The sequence below is a fragment of the Homo sapiens genome, chromosome 12 (genome assembly GCF_000001405.40).
Source record: "Homo sapiens chromosome 12, GRCh38.p14 Primary Assembly".
Classification (NCBI taxonomy): Eukaryota; Metazoa; Chordata; class Mammalia; order Primates; family Hominidae; genus Homo; species Homo sapiens.
This window is the reverse complement of record NC_000012.12, coordinates 70741279-70760002: the sequence shown is the minus strand read 5'-3', so window position 1 is coordinate 70760002 and position 18724 is coordinate 70741279. Positions and strand designations below refer to the sequence as shown.

At 37.4% G+C, this 18724-nt stretch overlaps 1 protein-coding gene and 1 long non-coding RNA gene across 11 annotated transcripts in view, besides 1 other annotated feature; one reads left to right on the top strand and one right to left on the bottom strand.

Moving 5' to 3' along the window:
• Positions 1-18724, top strand: part of PTPRR (protein tyrosine phosphatase receptor type R) — a 282666-nt gene that overhangs the window by 160736 nt on the left and 103206 nt on the right. For 4 of the 9 annotated variants that reach the window (XM_011538615.3, NM_002849.4, NM_001207015.2 and 1 more), the window contains 2 exons: positions 5702-5812; positions 13917-14185. In XM_011538615.3, coding sequence (XP_011536917.1) covers positions 5702-5812; positions 13917-14185 — 380 coding nt within the window. Of the gene's footprint in view, positions 1-5243; positions 5813-13916; positions 14186-18724 lie in introns of those variants that run through there. The other 5 variants (NM_001207016.1, XM_047429235.1, XM_047429234.1 and 2 more) reach the window with 2 other exon arrangements.
• Positions 1-18724, bottom strand: part of LOC124902960 (uncharacterized) — a 54602-nt gene that overhangs the window by 13795 nt on the left and 22083 nt on the right. Inside the window, exon 1 of one of the 2 annotated variants that reach the window (XR_007063362.1) lies at positions 5408-5709. The exons of the other annotated variant lie outside the window; for it this stretch is intronic. This is a non-coding gene — a long non-coding RNA (uncharacterized LOC124902960). Of the gene's footprint in view, positions 1-5407; positions 5710-18724 lie in introns of those variants that run through there. 2 annotated transcript variants of the gene reach the window in all.
• Positions 1380-2186: an enhancer, noted in NCBI's record as "OCT4-NANOG hESC enhancer chr12:71151597-71152403 (GRCh37/hg19 assembly coordinates)". NCBI's record gives its function as "activates a minimal SCP1, AML or CMV promoter by ChIP-STARR-seq in naive H9 embryonic stem cells {active_cell/tissue: H9 hESC(naive)}" and the evidence as "EXISTENCE:reporter gene assay evidence [ECO:0000049][PMID:30033119]".

Genomic DNA, 18724 nt, shown 5'->3' with positions numbered 1-18724 from the left:
CCAAACATACCCAATGTGTTTTCTTTCCTGCCACCAAAGTAATCTTTCTCAACATAAATTTGGCCATGCCCTCCTAATTTCGTGATTCTTCTCTGGCTTTCAAAATACTACGGAATGAAGTCTAGATTTCTTAATATGGTATATGGTCCTTTGTATGCTGGGCTTTATAATTGTTGAACAACACTTTCCTAGTTTACATTTCAGCAATTCTAAACTCGATAGATCTATGATACACCATATTCTCTCCTTCCTTCATGCTTTTGTATGTGTTGTTTCATCTACATACCTTTCGTTTGTTTTTTTTTTTTTTTTTTTTTTTTTTTAAGACGGAGTCTTGCTCTGTCTCCCAGGCTGGAGTGCAGTGGTGCATCTCGGCTCACTGCAAGCTCTGCCTCCCGAGTTCATGCCATTCTCCTGCCTCAACCTTCTGAGTAGCTGGGACTACAGGCGCCTGCCACCACGCCCAGCTAATTTTTTGTATTTTTAGTAGAGATGGGATTTCACCATGCATACCTTTCATTTCTTAAGATCAGTCTACTGTGTAGCAAAGTATCCCTTGTACCTCCACAGACGAAGATGCTCCTTACCCTGTGTTCCCGTCAAGCTTAAAACAAAAACTCCTTATTCCATATTAGTCTTTAGGCTCATCTCTACACTGTGGGTTTTTTGAGAGCTTGTGACATGTCATTTGATCTGTGTCTTCATTGCCTTCATTTAGTGCCTGGCATGCAATGGGCACACAACAAAACTGAGTCAACAAATAGTCATGCTGGGCGCGTTGGCTCAAGCCTGTAATCCCAGCACTTTGGGAGGTCAAGAGAAGAGGATTGGTTGAGGCCAGGAGTTTGAGACCAACCTGAGCAACATAGCAAGACTCTGACTTTACAAAAAAAGTTAAAAATTAGCTGGGCATGGTGGTGTGTAACTGTGGTCCCAGCTACTTGGGAGGCTGAGGCAGGAGGATCACCTGAGCCCAGGAATTTACGGTTGTAATGAGCTATGATGAGGCCACTGCACTCCAGCCTGGGTGGAGTCCCAAAACAAACAGACAACAACAACAACAACAACAAGAGCAAATAGCCAAGTACTGTGCTAGCTAATATCTAAAGCCAGAAAAATAAATAAACAAGAAAACAAACAATAAATGATGTTTGTTCTCAATGAATTTATGCACTAATAGGGCAAATACGACACAAAGAGATAATAAGAATATAGTTCTATGAATAAAGTTACTACACTGTGCCATGGGTGCCTTGGAGAAGAGACCCCTTATGCTTTAGAGAGGCCAGAGGAGAGGGTCAGGAGGAGGTGAACCACCAGGCCCCTCCCAGCCTTGCCCACGTCTGAATCTGAAGCAGTTCCGCTTGTGCACAAAGCCAAACCCCATTCCCACAGTCAAGGCCCTACACGGACTGACTGGTACACATCTTGCCTAGGACAATTCTTTAAATTTTAGAAAGACCGTTGGATAAATGTATCCTGCTTCCCATAAGCTTTTAGAGAATCATGTAAACGGCCTTCCCTGTTGCTTTATTCTCAGTTTAAAAGCCATTCTGAAGGCTTTAAGAATAGAGCAACTTACTGAGTCACTCAGATTTGCAAACCAAAAGAAGCTCCCTATACAAAAAGAGCTGGCTTTAAAGCAAGTACCTGGGCATCCTCCAATATACCCCAGTCCAGTGAAGGTGAGGTACTTAGCTTAATGGCCTCTCACAGAGCTACTAGCTCACAATAGACTACATTTGAATAAGGAAAGTGTTTTGATGATAAATGTGATAGATTCTCATAAAATTGTTGGAATCTAGAAATCTAGAATTTAGAAAATATGCATTACAGAAGATGAGGAAGTATTTGAATCAGATATAAGGAGCATATCATGAAGGACAGAGGGATTATTTGAACCTTTTGTTTGAGTACTCCTAGAAGGGGCCAGGCATTACCCTTTGACCTTTGACCAGAATCTCTAAATGCAGAAACAGGGAAAAGCTGTCTGTAGTGAGCAGGCACCCCAGTGGGGAGGTGCTTGGTACAGATACAACCTAAAGAAGCCCTGCAAAAATATTGATTGATAGTTGCTTAAAACTGGTAAATGCTATTCTGTGAGTTTTCTTACAACTTTATTCATTTTTTCTGTGGTTAATCTTTTATAACAACTTATACCTCAACCCATTTTTTCACATTTTAATCTTAAAATTATAACATGTTATGGCAACATATTCATTAACAGAAAAAAAGGATCACTGGTATTTTGGCTTTTCATCCTTTGCATGAATTATAGAACATCGTGAATGATGTCTCAAAGCATCTATTCCTAAACTTACGTTAATTACTTTCATGGAAGGATATGGTTTTTTATTGTTTTTTCATATGCTTGATTTTTTAAATTGAAAATGACTCTTCAGAAACAAAAAAACCCAACTAGAAAACTGTTCTTGTTTAGTCATTTGTTTTCATTTGTAATCTGTTTCTTAAAGGAAAAGACATTATTTCCTTTATATATTTGTATATGATATCTAGAACATTATAGGCACTCATATAGATAAAACTAGACCTCCTCTTGCCTAATAAGTAAAATCCCAGGAAAATAAAATTAAATGTTTTTACAAAATGAATTAAATACCTATTAAAACGGTAAGTTCTGTGTTGACATTTTTAAAAATGATTCAGGAATTTTGTTGTTGTTCAATTGCAAATTACTCCAGTTTCCAAATCTTATATTTCAAAGGAGAAAGTGACCTTCTTTAAATAAAAGTCCAATGTGCTAACTGATACCTTCATGAAATATTTACAAAGAAAAAAAGCCATTACATACAAATGTAAACAATAATGTGTGAGTTTAATGATTATTCCTTCAAACTAGGAACACTAGCAGGTAGTCTTGTCTAAATTAGTGTAGACCTAGCCATACAGTGCTGAGGAGACATACAATCAATATTAACCTGTATTCGACCATTCAGAACAATTGCTCACATTGTGCACAGTACAGTGGAAGCTTGGCATTTATCCAACAAAGCCATATTGTTATAGGATACATCTCATTTATCTGCCAAGTCAATCAAATTAACCAGATACTTTGTAACATTTGCACTTCATTCTTATTCTGTGTACTTCCTCTCTCTTAAAGAGGTGTATCTCCTAGATCCTCTGTATCTCTGAATCGTCTCTCCTAGCATTTGGGATCTCCTTCTGCATCTGAGATCAGAATTGATTAAAATATTTAAAAAGAAAGGACAAAAGAAAGAAGAATGAGCTATAGTGCATCAAATTATTAAACAGGATATAGAGAAGCCATTGTTAACTATACAGAAAACTGACCAAATTTTAAATAATAGAACAAAACCCATCAGCTTCTTTCACTGCAACTAAGTTAAAGGGCAAAGAAATGTAGCTATGAAATAATAAAACATAAAGATGATATAGTGGCATTGGCTTGACCCAACAACAGAGCCTCTGAATTATTCAACTCTCGGCCACCTGACAAAATATAAAAAGCATGGGGTTAACCCTATGCAAAGGTTAGATTGAAGATTCTTGTGAATTATAGTCTTTTGATTTGTGAGCTCTTAACTACAAACTTGTCCATTTATTACCCTGCCCTTATCAAGTTTTTTAGATCTCTGTACAAATATAGTAGTGTTCAGCAGGAGTAGCATGACTCAGAAAGAAATCTATTTACCAAGAAAGTGCAGTGACTAAGTTCTAGGAGTTTAAAACGTGTCTTTCTAACTGGGAGTGGGGGATGGGAGGGTGGGAGTTAATTCTTTCATCATTACTGCTTCAGTTAAAAAAGAAAACAAAACAGGTTTGTCTTAAGCAGAAAGGAACATGTTGATATTCTAGGAGTTGTAGAACTACAGCAAGAAAAAAAAATGAACCAAATCGGGTTAGGAACACAAAATCTCTTTCCACCCACCTAACCACCCCTTTTTATCCAAATTTTACATGGGCTTAAGCTCAACTCCTTATACTTAAATTTGACAAATTTATGCTGCCTACTTGAAGGCTTAACTAGTTTGCTTTTATAGCAAACAATGGATGCTATTTTGTTGCCTGTAAAAAATTCATTTCCATATTTATACCTGATTTCTGCAAGAGTTTTCTATTAGTTTCCAGCTATGCTTATAGAGACATTGGAATTTAAAAAAACGATATGGCTGACGTCAAAGAGGTGAAAGAAAATTTGTCGCTTGAACCCAAAGTTGTTTTGCAGCAGGGTACTTGGTTTCTAATCATTTATCAATCAAGTGTTTTCAGATTCTCCATCGATTTATCATTTATATATCTTTAAAATACATATCTAAATCATTTCTTGTATCTATGCATCTATCTATGTCTTAGAAAGTAGGCCAGATACTATTCTACTATAATTAGTGAGCACATCGCTGTTTTACAAGTAAAGAAAATAGAATCCTGATTACGTTAGCATTTAATAAAGGCTTTCTCCAAATAATTTTTGTAATCACAATTGAACTCAAAAATCTTTTCTGTTCAGCCTTGCTTATCTTCCCACCAAAACACACTTGCATTCCAGAATGAAAGTTCTCATAAAATATTTTTCAAGGTAAATTTTTTGTCTGATTTATAAATGTTGGGTATATTTTATTTTTTAAAAGCCTTAAAAATAAATTAGCAATGATTTCAAAGTTCAGACACCTACAAGACGTGTTTTACTCCAGGCCTTCTTAATCACTGGAAACAATAACCAAGGACAGACATGTACTCTCACTAAAGGGAATAAAAAGGCACCCTTCAACAAAATGAAATTTTAGATGAGTTAAAGCATTTGACTTGATTTAGCCTTTATATGTTTTTCCCAATCATGGACTATTTGGTTTCAAGTTAGTTTCGTTAACTATAAATCTATACTGTCACTAAATTATACAACTGAATTTTAATCTAAGAATGGATTTTAGTCAATGTGCTTCTTTAAAAAAATTAATAAAATAAAATTAATAGAGTCATGCACACTTTATTCATGCTTCTTCTCTGCTCTTCCACCCCCAAAGTGGAACAAAAATGATACAAATAAAGATAAACCTGTGTATTCTACCTTTTATTGACAAATAATTCTGAACTTTTTAATGTTCCGTATTACTTTAGAAAAATATGTGATATTCTAACAATATGTATTCTTGAGATGATATTTTAGTCAGGTTTTGACAGCAGAGACTCTATTTGAAAAAAAAAAAAGATGTGATTAAAAGAAAGAAGGAAATAATGCTGGCATTGTTGCTGTATTTATTAATGCACCACAAGCTTTTGTTTGCACTTGTTTCACTTTTGTTTAAAAGTAAAGAGGTAGTACAGCACGTAATCCAGGGTGCTGATGTTGTGGGAGGGGACTTAAAACAGAGTAAGGAAATCAGAAACAATTTCCTCCACACAGAAAAGAACAGAACTCTCTTACCTATGAACCAGGTAGTTTCCAAGAGAGACGCTGAGGGATGTTTAGAAAGCCTGGGACCTGCAGATGCCATGTCAGGCACGCTTGCTCCTGCATAGGAGACTAAATAATCTCGATATATAAGGATGGCAGTCTGTTGTCTTAGATCAGTTTGAGAAGCAGCTCTGGCAGCGGGGGGTGTAGGTGTGTTGCACTACACTGAATGGAATAAGGCTAAAAATATGTTTAGTGTCTGATAAGAACGCCAGTTTTCTCAAGCTCTCATTTAACGTCGGACTTTCTGTTTTGCTTTTAAAGAAAAATGTTTTACAAGGGCAGCATGAAGCGGACAAAATCTGGAGCAAAGAAGGATTTTATGCTGTTGTCATTTTTCTCAGCATCTTTGTTATTATAGTAACGTGTTTGATGGTAAGTTTGCTTCTTTGTATATTTTATCCTTTGCTCAGCCCACTGCTTGATATTAGTGGGTACATTGCCATTCAAATGAATGTTAAAATGCTTCCGAGCAGAAGGAAGACTATGATCCTGCTAGATTAGGAATATTTCATATCTGACATCAGAGCGATTGCTAAAGGAGAGCTTATGGAATTAAGGATGCTGACCTGAATAATAAGGCTGTAATTGCAATGCAGTTTTTAGTAACTTGATCAACTCTGAGAATGAAGCTTTAGACAGTGATTTACTGAGGTCACTGAAGCCCTCAAAGTCAGTAAAGTCTCACGGGCACACTTTGGGTTTACTTTATTTCTCCTTTTATATCATCTTTATGGAACTCAGGAAAAAATTTAAAAAGAGATATGTCTTTGAGACAAGATTACTCCCTAAGGAATGGTTGATTTCCTTATTTTTAAAAGGACTTGAAAGCATTCTATGAAAAGGAGATGATTATACCCTCAAAGGCTAAGTTAGGTAGACTACTAATTCATTTTTAAGGTGGATAAATAGTACAAAAGTATAAATGTATATGCTGGAATAGCTCTGTAAGTAATAATGTGTAGCCTTTAAAAGCATGTTTCTAATTTTAAAAATAGAACCCAAAACAAACTTAACCCACTAAATTAAGCAGTACTATTTGGCATTGAATGAACTAACGGTATCTTTAGGGTAGAATAAGATGTTTCTACTCATTTGAAAATTTCAAGATGTAATATAATAATTAGAGTTTACAAATAGGTTTTAATGTCCTTTTTCCCTGTGAGCTATGTTCTTTTTAATTTTGTACATTTAAATAAATACTTCTTCCTTAGTTTTTAAGTGCCCCCCAAAAGTCATTATGTTACTTATTTCTCTCCACAATCAACAATGTTGCTAAGTGTTTTATTGGATTTTGTTTATTTCTGCTTCCCCTACTGGGAAGGGGTTACTGTTAGAAAGATTGGGGCTCCCTCTGGAAAGACAGGCTGCATGGGCTAAACTTAGAGGATATAAAACAAGCACAGTCTTAAACAGGGTGAAGATAAGCATGTTTTCTAGAGTTTAAAATCTGTGAAGTAACAAGAGTACCCTAAATCTTCCACCATAATGAATTCAGAGGTAGCTCCTATGGGTCAAGCATTAAGAAAAAAAAAATTTCTAAGAATTGTGACTCAATAAACAAAAGAATAATTTAGAATTGAGTAAAAACTGATTTTTATATTTCACATGGCAGAGATTAAGAGGAAAGAATTTTAATGAGAGAAAGTGGGAGGTTTTGGGAAATTATGGCAGCGTCTTCTGGGCATCTCTGTTTTAAAGGACATAGTTCCTTGTTATGGTTAATTGCATTTTAATATACGTGATTCTTCCTTTATATGGGAAATCTCAAGTGCTGTTCCCTCTCTTGTCAGTCACAATTAGGGTATTTTTCTGCTTTGCAGATGAGAAAGGATAAGAGAAGGGGGAGAATAGAAAGGAATTGAAAGTGATAAAAGTGGAAAATATTCAGGGGATCAATGGATGTGATTCAGAAGAGCAAAGGCAAGGATAGAAGAAGGGAAGTGGGAAAGCAGAGTCATGCCCAGCCTTTGAGTACTAAAGGGCAGCAGAAACAGAGCAGAGCTTGCTATTAACATATAGAATGTGTTTCAGATTCTGCATTTCTAACTCAGGGCGTGCTCATGTACTGAATGTAACTAGATAAATGCCTATGTTGGTCTTGTGGCAAAAGGACCTATAGTAGTCACACCCTCAACCACTTGGGGCCAGAGGATGACTCTTCTTTTCCCAATATTTGCAAAACATCAATGTAAAGGTCAGAAACTTAGGGAAGTCGACTCTAACGTTATTAGAACAAATCAAGAAAGGAGCATTTCAGAAGTATAGGTGATTGCTCTCTATTGGGTTAGCAGGTGGATTCATCTATTCATTCAATCAACAGATTCCTGCAGAATATTCTCTGCGGGTCTATTTGTTGCTGGTGCTGTGGGCAAAGGAGAAAACAAGACAGATAAGATCCCTATTTTCTTGAAGTCTTTACTCTAGAGGGAGACATAGAAAATAATTAAGTTAATTTTAAAAAATCAAATGGTGAACATGCTATGTGAGTCCAACTATATGACATTCAGGAAAAGTCAAGCCTATAGAAAATATCAGTGGTTGCCAGAGATTTCAGAGAAAGGGAACGATTAGGTAGGGGACAGCAGATTTTAGGGCAGTGAAACTATTCTATTTTCTGTAATGATGAATACATGACATTATGAATTTGTCAAAACCTGTACAAGGTATGAAGAATGAGCTCTAATCTACACTATCTACACTATGGACTTTAATAATAATACATCAATATTGGTTCATCAGTTGCAACAAATGAATCACACCAATGCAAGATGTTAATAACGGGAAAATGAAGAGATAGGGAAGAAGGGTATGTGAGAACTTGGTATTTTCTGCTCAGTTTTTCTGTAAACCTAAAACTACTCTAAAAAATAGTATATTAATTTAAAAAATCAAATGTTGATAAGTGCTATGAAGAAGAAACCATAATAATGAGTGAGTGGAGCAGAGCAACCTGAGATGTTTGAGACCTATGGGTGAATATGTGAGTAAAGGACCCCTAGGCAGAGGGTACTGTGGGTGCAGTTAGAATAAGCTTAGCCTGTTCAGGCTCTAGGGGAAGAATGTTTTAGGCAGAGCCTTGATATGATCTGCTGTGTGTGTTTAAAAATCACATTTTCTTCTGGTAGAAAGTGGTGGTGGACAGAGGATGGGGAGAGTTGTGGAAGGAGGAGGATCTTTCTGGAGGCTTCTGCAATATCCCAGTGAAGAAGATGCTGGTGGCATAGAACAGGGGTGGGTGGTGGGGAAGGAGAGAAGTGAAGGATTGAGATCTATTTGAAAGTAGAACCGACAAAACTTGCTGTGTCCCAATCCTCAGCAACAGGGGTAAAATTAAGGATGACTCCTAGGTTATTTGGCTTCCCTGACTGTGTGGAAATGTTCTCATTTCCTGGGAGAGGGACACGTTCAGAATGAGGATGAGCGTGTTCAGATGGTTCTTAAAGAAATGAAAGAAATAATTAGATGGATTTCAAACACTGTCTTAAATTTTAATTTGAAGGAGTCACTTTTAAAAGTAACAGGGGGACCAAGTGCAGTGGCTCACGCCTGTAATCCCTGCACTTGGGAGGCAGAGGCAGGGGAATTGCATAAGCCCAGGGGTCTAAAACTAGCCTAAGCAACACAGTGAGACCCTGTCTTTACAAAAAAAAAAAAAAGGGTTTAAAAAATCATCCAGGCTGATGGCACATGCCTGTAGTCCCAGCTACTGAGGAGACTGACGGGGAGGAGCACTTGAGCCCAGGGGTTTGAGGCTACAGTGAGCTATGATCATGCCACTTTACTCCAGCCTGGGCTTCAGATTCTCTGCCTCTGAAAAATATATAAATAAAAACAAATTCTGAAAAGTAACAGAGGAACCCGCAGCACACAGACGGGAAGTTCATATTCACAAGAAAAGAAGTACTACCTAATAGGATTAGCACAAAGCCAAGTTTATCTGATGGAACTTACCACAGAGGAGTCAAGAGTTCATGTTTAGGGACATGTCAAAGCGATTATCTAAAATAAGCTCATCTTTCTAAGTGTTCAAATTATTTTGATAATAAGCTTGATTTAAAGTAAGTGTTTCACGTGCATTTCTCAGTGATACTTGTACTATCACTTTCGTGATTCTGAAACACATGTATTCCAACTCTGTTTCCCATAGTTTTGTTGATTCCATGACAAAGGAAAGATATAACTCAGAATTTTCCCCCTGGCATTGATTATATTTATAACAAATCAAGTGCCTCCATTTGCATTGGCATTCCTACATGCCGTAGAAATGAAAAGCATGGGTTTTATTATAAAATTATATAGGTAAATTGCTGTAATGGAAGGTTGTATGTGCTATGTAACAACAACATAAGACTTGGCAGAATTTTTGAAAAGTGGCATATTGTTTACTTTCCTTAAAATACAAAAAAAAAATGTTGCCAGGCATAAAATTAGACAGGCATGACATTTTCAAATATGCTGACTTATTTAGCACCTCACAAATGTGAATGTGCAGTGGGTGGAGCGACAAATAGAAAAATACAGTTTTCCAAGAAAAAATGTGTGGGCAACTTCCAATCCATTCAGTCTGTTTTAGATGAAAGAAACTTACTAAGAAGAATTAGTTCTTAAACTTGAACAAATAATAGAAAGAACACCATTTATCATCTAAATTAGACATCCAAATGTCCTTACAGGTTTATTAACAAGTACAAAGACATTTATGAAATATAGCTAGAGATGTCTACAGGCCAGATTGCTTCTGGAAAGCAGTTTTAGAAATCACATGAAAATAGTTGTTTGGATCAATAAAAACACTGGCATGTTAGACCCATAGGAGAGTCATCCATATGGGAGGGAAAGAGTTTCTCTAGTTGTAGTCTGGTAGCCGCAGCAAGAAATCCTACATTGAACCACCTGCTATAGCCTTAACATCATGTAATAAATACATGTCAAAGGTGGACATAATTTTCTCATTTGTTAAATATAATCCCTCGGGATGAAGGGAACTAGGACCAGATTCCTAACTGGAATGATTGGTTAGGTAGGCATATATCTCAAATTAATTTTCAATTTTTTTTCTGTATTAAGAAGAATACAATTGTCTTAATAGTAATAACATTAAAAATTAGTTTCTTCCATTTATTGCACACTTATTGGTACTAAACTGGTACTAAATTTACTGTAGTGCTAAATGCCTAACATGTTTTAGTTTCCTAATTTTACTTATGAGAAAACTAAGATTCAGAAAAAATAAATGACTTGACCAAGAACATGCAATGGGTGGATATGGGGGTGGCAGAGTAGAAAGTGGTAAAAATTCAAACCCAAGTCTATCTAAATTGAAAGTCAGCATTCTTTACCATAATTCCATTTGTTTTCATAAAGGAGTCAAACTGTGGTTGTTGTTGTTTGTTGTTGTTGTTGTTGTTTTTAGTCTTATCACTCTGTCTTGTGAACATATATTTCTGGCCACAAATAACTCCAGTAGTAGCAGATGCGAATGGCTGTATTTATCAGAGCCATTCTACCCAGATGGAACTGGTAAATGTGTGCCACATTATACCTCTGTGCTGTGGGCACACCTCTATTTTTGCACTTAGTACTTTGTACTGAACATAATTTTTACACATTTATCTTTTCTGGAAGCCTATGAATTCCCAGAAGACAGAGTTCTGTGTTACTTTTGCATCTACAATATCTTGTTTATGGAATGTAGTAGGGATTGACTCAGGATTATTAAATTAAAAGAGTGAATGAACTCTTTCAGAACTAATTGTAAAACACTGTAAAGAACAAATGTTAAAGACTAGTGGTTGGTGGCATCGTTTTGAAATCTGAACACATTTGACAGAATGTTTTGTGTTACTCATGAGATTTTTGAACGAAAATTTTAAGCTGCAGAAAAGCTTCATCGAATTTTTTTAGCTTCCTCCCATTTCTGTGTTCCTCTGGTTTTTTTATTCCCACTATTATTTTCTTTCTCTTGCTATAGTTTGAGTTTTACAGCTCCTCTCATTCAATAATCTGTTCTCTTTTCCTTTTTTAAATTATTACATGACTTTATTCCAGTCCAAGAGTCAAACAAGCTCTTGGAGATGAAGGCAAAATGTTGACTTGCCATTGCTACGGTAAGCTTTTAGGTTGAGTTTTTCAACAAAGTGAATTCCCATAGAGAAATATGAATATGCTATATTCCAGATCTCAATCTGTGCAGAGAAAAATCTCTGACACACTTTTCCAGATGCTTTCGGAAAGAGGTTTCAAAGAAGGACATGAGACTTTGGAGGAAACAATAGAGTTGAATGATCACATACCTGGAAGTCACAAAACTTGGATTCTAGGTTTTCTTTCCAAACCTCCATAACTCATCCAATAGCTCAGGACTTAAATGTGAAATGAGGAGATTACACCACAAAAATTTTATGATCCCTTACGTCAGGGTTTTACAAACAACACTACTGACATTTCGGAGTTACTATTTCTGTTGGCGGGGGTGTGTGGTGAGCCTTTCCAATGCATTGTAAAGGTAGTTAGCCTCTGCCTACCAGATGCCAGTAGCACCCTTTCCCTTCTCCTTCCCCCACACCCTGAAAATATGACAACCAAAAATACCTCCAGACACTGCCAAACGTTTCCTGAGGGCAAAATCCCTGCCAGTTGAGAATCACTGCCTTATAGCTTAATTTCATGACAACTACCCTATTGCCAAGTAGCAATCTCTTCCATTTTTTCCATATTTTTTCAGACAGCCCAATCTCTTGAGTATTTTTAAACACTATCTTATATACATCATACATTCTCCAGGTTCTACTTTTCCCTAATTAAAGATGTAGAAATCAGTTTGTACACGTACCACACAGAGACAGGTTGCAAAGTTGACCTGTAACCAGACATGAAGTAAACAGATGACTGATTGGAAAATATGTTACAAAGGTTTCTCATCAAAAACATAAGCTCATGAATGGTAAGGAAGGACTTTGGACTAGACTTTGTTTTACACTAATATAAATCATAAAATTGACCTGTCAAGAACAATTGAGAAGGTCAAGATTTCCTTGGCTTTCCCATTTTCGTTGTTGATTCATATTTCTCCAAAATCCAAGTGTAAACAGGCAAGCAAATGTTCTCATATGCATATTATATTTAGATGTGAAGAGCTTAAAATATATAATATATGCCTTATCTTCTAAGTGTATTTTTGTAAAGGTACAGATATATTTGTTTCTTCATTTGGGAAAATAACTTTCTTGCAACTAAAACAATATTTTAAATTCTGTTGCCTCATCGTTTAGTAATTAAATGTTTAGCTGAACACAATAAGCCTAAAATATATGTATCATCTGATTGATACTGTTCTAGTGCAGGTTTTGTTTTTACACCGTGAAGGTCATGGAAACTGAAGAGAAGCAGTGAGTTAAAAACCTTAGACACTATGCACATGATAAAGGCATTCATCTTCAGTCTTTTCCATCCTATAGCTTAAAAAAACACATTACACTTGCTTGAAAGTAGTTATTATAAAGGTAAGAAGACCTTTTACTTAATATCAGACATCTTTTCTTTCTCATTCATGTGATAAATATTTATCATGTGAATATTCCAAATCCACCCTTTTTTCAAAATTTAAGCTTTAACTTTACCCTACCAGAGTCAATGAATATCACCAGTATAAAAGTTTCCAGATTACAAGGAGGTGGACTGACATAAAAAACAATAAAATGTCTTTCTTTTCTTAGGAGTTCAATGTTTAATATGCATTTCTAGTTCTATCTCGTAGGTGCATAGTCTTTTCCCTTAAGGAGAGCTCGAGGTTACAGTGAGCTATGATCACAGCACTGCACTTTCGCTTGGGCAACAGAGCCAGATCCTGTATCGAAATAAAATAAAATAAATATTAAAATTTAAGAGGGCAAAGTGGTAAGAATAAAAATTCTGGTTGTCCAAATTATTCTTTCATAGATACCCTAAATTTAATTTGTCAAGTATTTACCAGATACTCAAGTTGATATATGACTAATGCAGAGATTTACCAACATAAGAAACTGTGGTTTATGGCATAACTATTATTTTATTAATACTTGCAAGACTACTTTTTTCTACTAAGCCATGTTGGATGTATATCTCCATTTCTATAAATGTCATAGACGTGTGTTTTACGGTTATTCCTTCTGTAAGCCTACCATTTCCCCATGTGACCAAACTAACATCTGGCATTTTTCATAAAATTGGTTAAATTTACTTTTGAATATATCTTTGTGGAACAGATTCATGTGCACAATTATTTGATACATATGTGCAGCATAACTGGAAATACCAAGTGTACTGTCTTGAGAAAAATCTCAATACCATGAAACTGAGAAATCATCTCTCAGAGGGCTTTGTTTACTTTATCGTTAAGCCTTTATTTTGGTTTGTCGGCCAGGGTGGGGTGGAGGAGATCATACTCTTGTTTAGTGTGAGAAAATGTGACAGGAGTTTTTTATATCTCCTTCTATAGATTCTTTACAGATTAAAAGAAAGATTTCAGCTTTCCTTAAGACAAGACAAAGAGAAAAACCAGGAGATCCACCTATCGCCCATCACATTACAGCCAGCACTGTCCGAGGCAAAGACAGTCCACAGCATGGTCCAACCTGAGCAGGCCCCAAAGGTACTGAATGTTGTCGTGGACCCTCAAGGCCGAGGTGCTCCTGAGATCAAAGCTACCACCGCTACCTCTGTTTGCCCTTCTCCTTTCAAAATGAAGCCCATAGGACTTCAAGAGAGGTAAGAGCTTGTTCTGTATACCCTACGTGTGGCTTTTTATAAAAAGAGTATTCATCAACTAAAAAAGAAAGAACTAGTAATGATTGACATAATTGGGTAGAATTGTTCACCACTAAATGGACAGTCAGATGAAGTAGTGTTTCTTGTCTCCCAAAGGAATCCAACTGTGTTAGATAAAATCTGTTAGGTATGTCTGATTCTGCTAAGCTTGTCTAGATTCAAGATGGTATAGATCCAAGCAAAGTTCATCTTCAACTACAAGACAATTTCTAGCTTATTGAGGTTCACTGACCTCACAAGATGCTATCTTGTTTAATTGTCATGAAACTCTGGTAGGTAGAAGACTGAGAATGAACTCAGAGTGTTTCCTGCAAAAGCCCACGTTGTCTGGAGTTAGGCAGGAGTTGATGCCACAGATTAATTTTTTTTAAAGTTTTAGCTCTGCATTTTTTAACCACAACAAACATTCAGTATCAAGATCCATGACACTGGACGGGCGCAGTGGCTCACGCCTATAATCCAAGTACTTTGGGAGGCTGAGGTGGGTGGATCACTTGAGGCCAGGAGTTCAAGACCAGCCTGGCCAATAGCCAGGTGAGGTGGCGCATGCCTGTAATCCCAGCTACTTGGGAGGCTGGGATGTGAGAATTGCTTGAACCTGGGAGGCAGACGTTGCAGTGAGCCGAGATAGCATCACTGCACTCCAGCCTTGGCAACAGAGTGAAACTCTATCTAAAGAAAAAAAAAATCCATGACATTATTTTTGTTGCCTTACCTTTTTTGTGATGTATTATACATGTGATTCACTTTATACCAATACATTTCCATTAAACGCAAATCCAATGTAAGAAAACTTGGATTTGCAAAATACATAAATGAGAGACTAATTCTTTGCCTCTCAAAAATATTAAGTAAAGCTTTCCCATGGCGTTTCTTAAAATAAGAAGCTTTAATTTTATATTTAAAACATGACTTGTAGTGTATCCAACTTTGAACACCAGGGTAGTGGGAGAGTAAGTTCTCAAAGTAATATCCCAGGTTCATTCTCCTCTTATTTTCCATGTCTCCATTTTCTAACCCCATATATTTTGTTGCCTGAGGTTTTTAAATCACATATATAAATTTTGAATATATTTCCCATGATACATCACAATGCCCTATGCAAATAGTTATGGTTTACACACACAAACACACCCTTCAGAAAATATAGCTTGGGATTTTAAGAACTGCAGAATACAAAATTGATCCTTCATAATTATTTGAAAGTATTGCCAAGGAACAATGGATGACATAAAAATAAAGGAATGTGTTTATCTCTAAAAGTCCTTAAACACTGAACCCTTTGACTCCACAACAGGAAGAAAACAGAGATTGATCAAGTCATTCTTTCCACCTCCTCCCCTAAAATACCTGTGGTTTCTTGATGGGCAATGTAGGTCTCCATGTGACATTCACTTACGTAGATATCACTAAATTGCTTTTTGTGATTCAGTGTGGAAAGGTAGAGAAAATGGAACTTTCTCCCTAAGGCTAACTGGGAGTCAGGAGAACTGGATTCCAGACCCAGCCCTGCCGTTCCTGGGTTTGGTGGCCTCACCTGAGTCATTCACTCATCTGGACCTCATTTTCTTCTAAAAGATAAAGAGGTTTAACTTGATTTTTTAGCTTCTTTCTGGTTCTTTTACTCTGGTCATCCACATTATTTTTGTGCTTTTATGTTTGCTTCAAAGAGGAACTTTGAAGCACAGACCTGGGCATCAGTGATGAACGAAGGGCCGGTGGCAAGAAAGGGTCTGCAGGCAATAGGAGGCCATGTTATCTATAGTAGATAACAATGAAGGGTCATAATGAAACTGATTAAAAGACAAATTTTTATTATCATCATGCACTACCAATTCTAAGCAAGGTCAGAATAAAATTGTCTAGGAAAGTAGCCATTCCCAGCATCCTGCCCTCTGTAGACCACTGCTGGACATGTTGGTCTACAGTTTAAAGGAGTATAAGGTTAAATATTCACTTATTCATTTCATTAAAGTGAATCTTTGAGAAGGGCGAATACAAGGACGGAATCATACCCATCTCTTTGGTCCACGTGGGGGATTCTAGCAGAGCAAGTGTGTAATCAGTGTTAAATAGATCCTCTGTCCCCTTATCTACAACTTCACTGCATCCCACACTTCACCTCCTACTTTGTTCCACCTCAGAGCAGGAAAAGACTATTCTCTCCACAAGGGCTCCAGGTCATTCACCTCAACCCTAGTAACTTCATCAGTTTTCCTCCTCTACCTTCAGCTGTACCCTCTTTTCTAATGCTGTTCCCTCAGCATACAAATAGGTTCTTTCTTGTATTAAAGAAACTCCCTTAATCCAGTGCCTCCTCTGGTATTGTTTTTCCTTCCTTTCTCAAATACATGTCTTAAAAGAACAGAGTGTACTTGCTGCCTCATTGTTCTTCTCCCACCTTTCATTCTCATTGCTTCTCTCACATCCTCGATTATCAAGTTAATTATCAATGGTCTCACTACCAAATCCAAAGCACATGTTTCATTTCCCATCTAGCACTAGTAACTATCTCCTTCTTAAACTTCTCTCCTCCTTTGGCCTCATATATATCATTTTTCTGTTTCTTGCATGGCTACCTTCGGTCTCCTCCAGATTCCCTTCTCTTGTTAACCTCAGAGTTTCATTCTGTGTCCTCTTCTCTCCTTCCTGAATCACCCAACCATGGCCACTTCTTATCTTACCACCTTTTAGTGATTCCTGAAAAAGTACCTTTAGCTCAATCTACCTTTCTGTTGAAATCCAGACCCATATTTCAGCTCTGAACTCTGTGTCACTACTCTGACCTTTCTTAAACACTACCAACTTACAACATTCAGAAATGGAACTCAAGACCTTCCTCATCAAATCCTTTCTCTTCTTTTTAAATTGTGAGTCTCTGAAACCAGTAATATCCTCAGCTTCTCCGTGTTGTTTTTCCCCTCCCCATATAGCCGAACATTATGAAGACCTGGCACCTTCTCCCAACTGTTTCCCCCGTCCAACCCCAATCCCACTGAGAACTCAGGATCTCCCTAATTCTAGCCAGTCTCCTCCTGGTCCCCACCTCGAATTCTGTTTTTTTCCAGTCCACTCTCTAGACCTCTTAAACTGGTTTTCTAAATTATATTTGAGTGTTTTTCTCTTTATAAAATTCCTCAGTGTTTCCACACTGCCTTCAGGAAGAAACTGATAACTTCTACTTATGAAATATGAAGCCCTTTCTGATCTGGCCTTTGGCAGCCTATGTTGACCCCTATTTCCTGCTAAACACCCCCTTGGACTCATCCTGCTACTTGGACATTTTTCCAGGTACCATGCCATTCTCTTTTAAGCCTAAGAATTAATACTTGCCTAGAACCTGTCCTTTTCCCTACTCCTTGCCCTTGAAAATTACCACCAATATAGTGGGCATGAATCTGGGTCTACAAATCAAAAAAACAAGAAATGCAATTTTATTTTTCTGTAACTCAACCTAAGCTTTTTTGCTAGATGTCATTTCACCTAAATGGTAGAAACTCAATCTCAGCCCTTTTCTGATTCATCTAACCTACTTCTGGTTTCCTAGGGTTTCCTCTACGTTTTAAGGAGACTTTCTCAACATGAAGAGTAAGGCCCCTATCTGCCTTGATGTCATCTGTGCACATTGTCATCTGCTAAAATGTCCATTATCTCTTTGGTTCTCATAAGTATTCCCAGGACAGTTACCACCATGTTGTTCCCTGTTGCTATTCATGCAGCCCCTTCATTTCCAGCAGTTGCTTTCTCCTTTTCTCTCTCTCTTCCTCTTTTTCAGTTGTATCCAAACCACTGTTAGATGCCCAAGAATCATCTCACTATTCTACCCCAAATGGAGGCATAGGAAAACCTGGGCATATCTAAGGCATGATCCCCCAGAAACACTTTCCAGCCATTTCTCATGGCTCTACCAAGGATCACAGTCCTCCTATTGAGGGTCCCCCACTTCCCAGGGCTCAGCGGTGAAGGATCCAGGGGTCTCACCTGCACCCACAAAGCAGCCGTTCTAACACTTCACCCTCCCCTGAGCCCATGGGCGTTTTCTTAGGCTTTGGGAATAGAAAACCCTACTCTGGCTTATTTCATATTCTACCTTATCTGACATCCACACCCCGAGACGCCACCTTCCACCAAAGTCCTGGCCTTTAGAACACAAAGCCCATGACAGGACTCAAATTTCCCTGCTTTCTGCTCTCAGATTTCTTCAAATGCAATAAAACACCAAAAAACCCTGGCAGCCCGAATACAGCAAAGGTCCAAAGGTGAAAGAGGGAGTAGGAATACAGGGAGGGGCATTCAAGCATCACTTCCTCTTGGAAGCCAATTTGAGGCTCCCTCTGCCTCCTCCTCCTTCCTCCAGCCCACTACTGATTCAGCTACCTCTCTTCTGTATGGAGGCTCCCCGCTGCTTTAGTTCCATAACCCAGTGTGCATACAGTATTTATAGCACTTCTTTGTTGTCTTTAAGTTCTGGTTTACTAA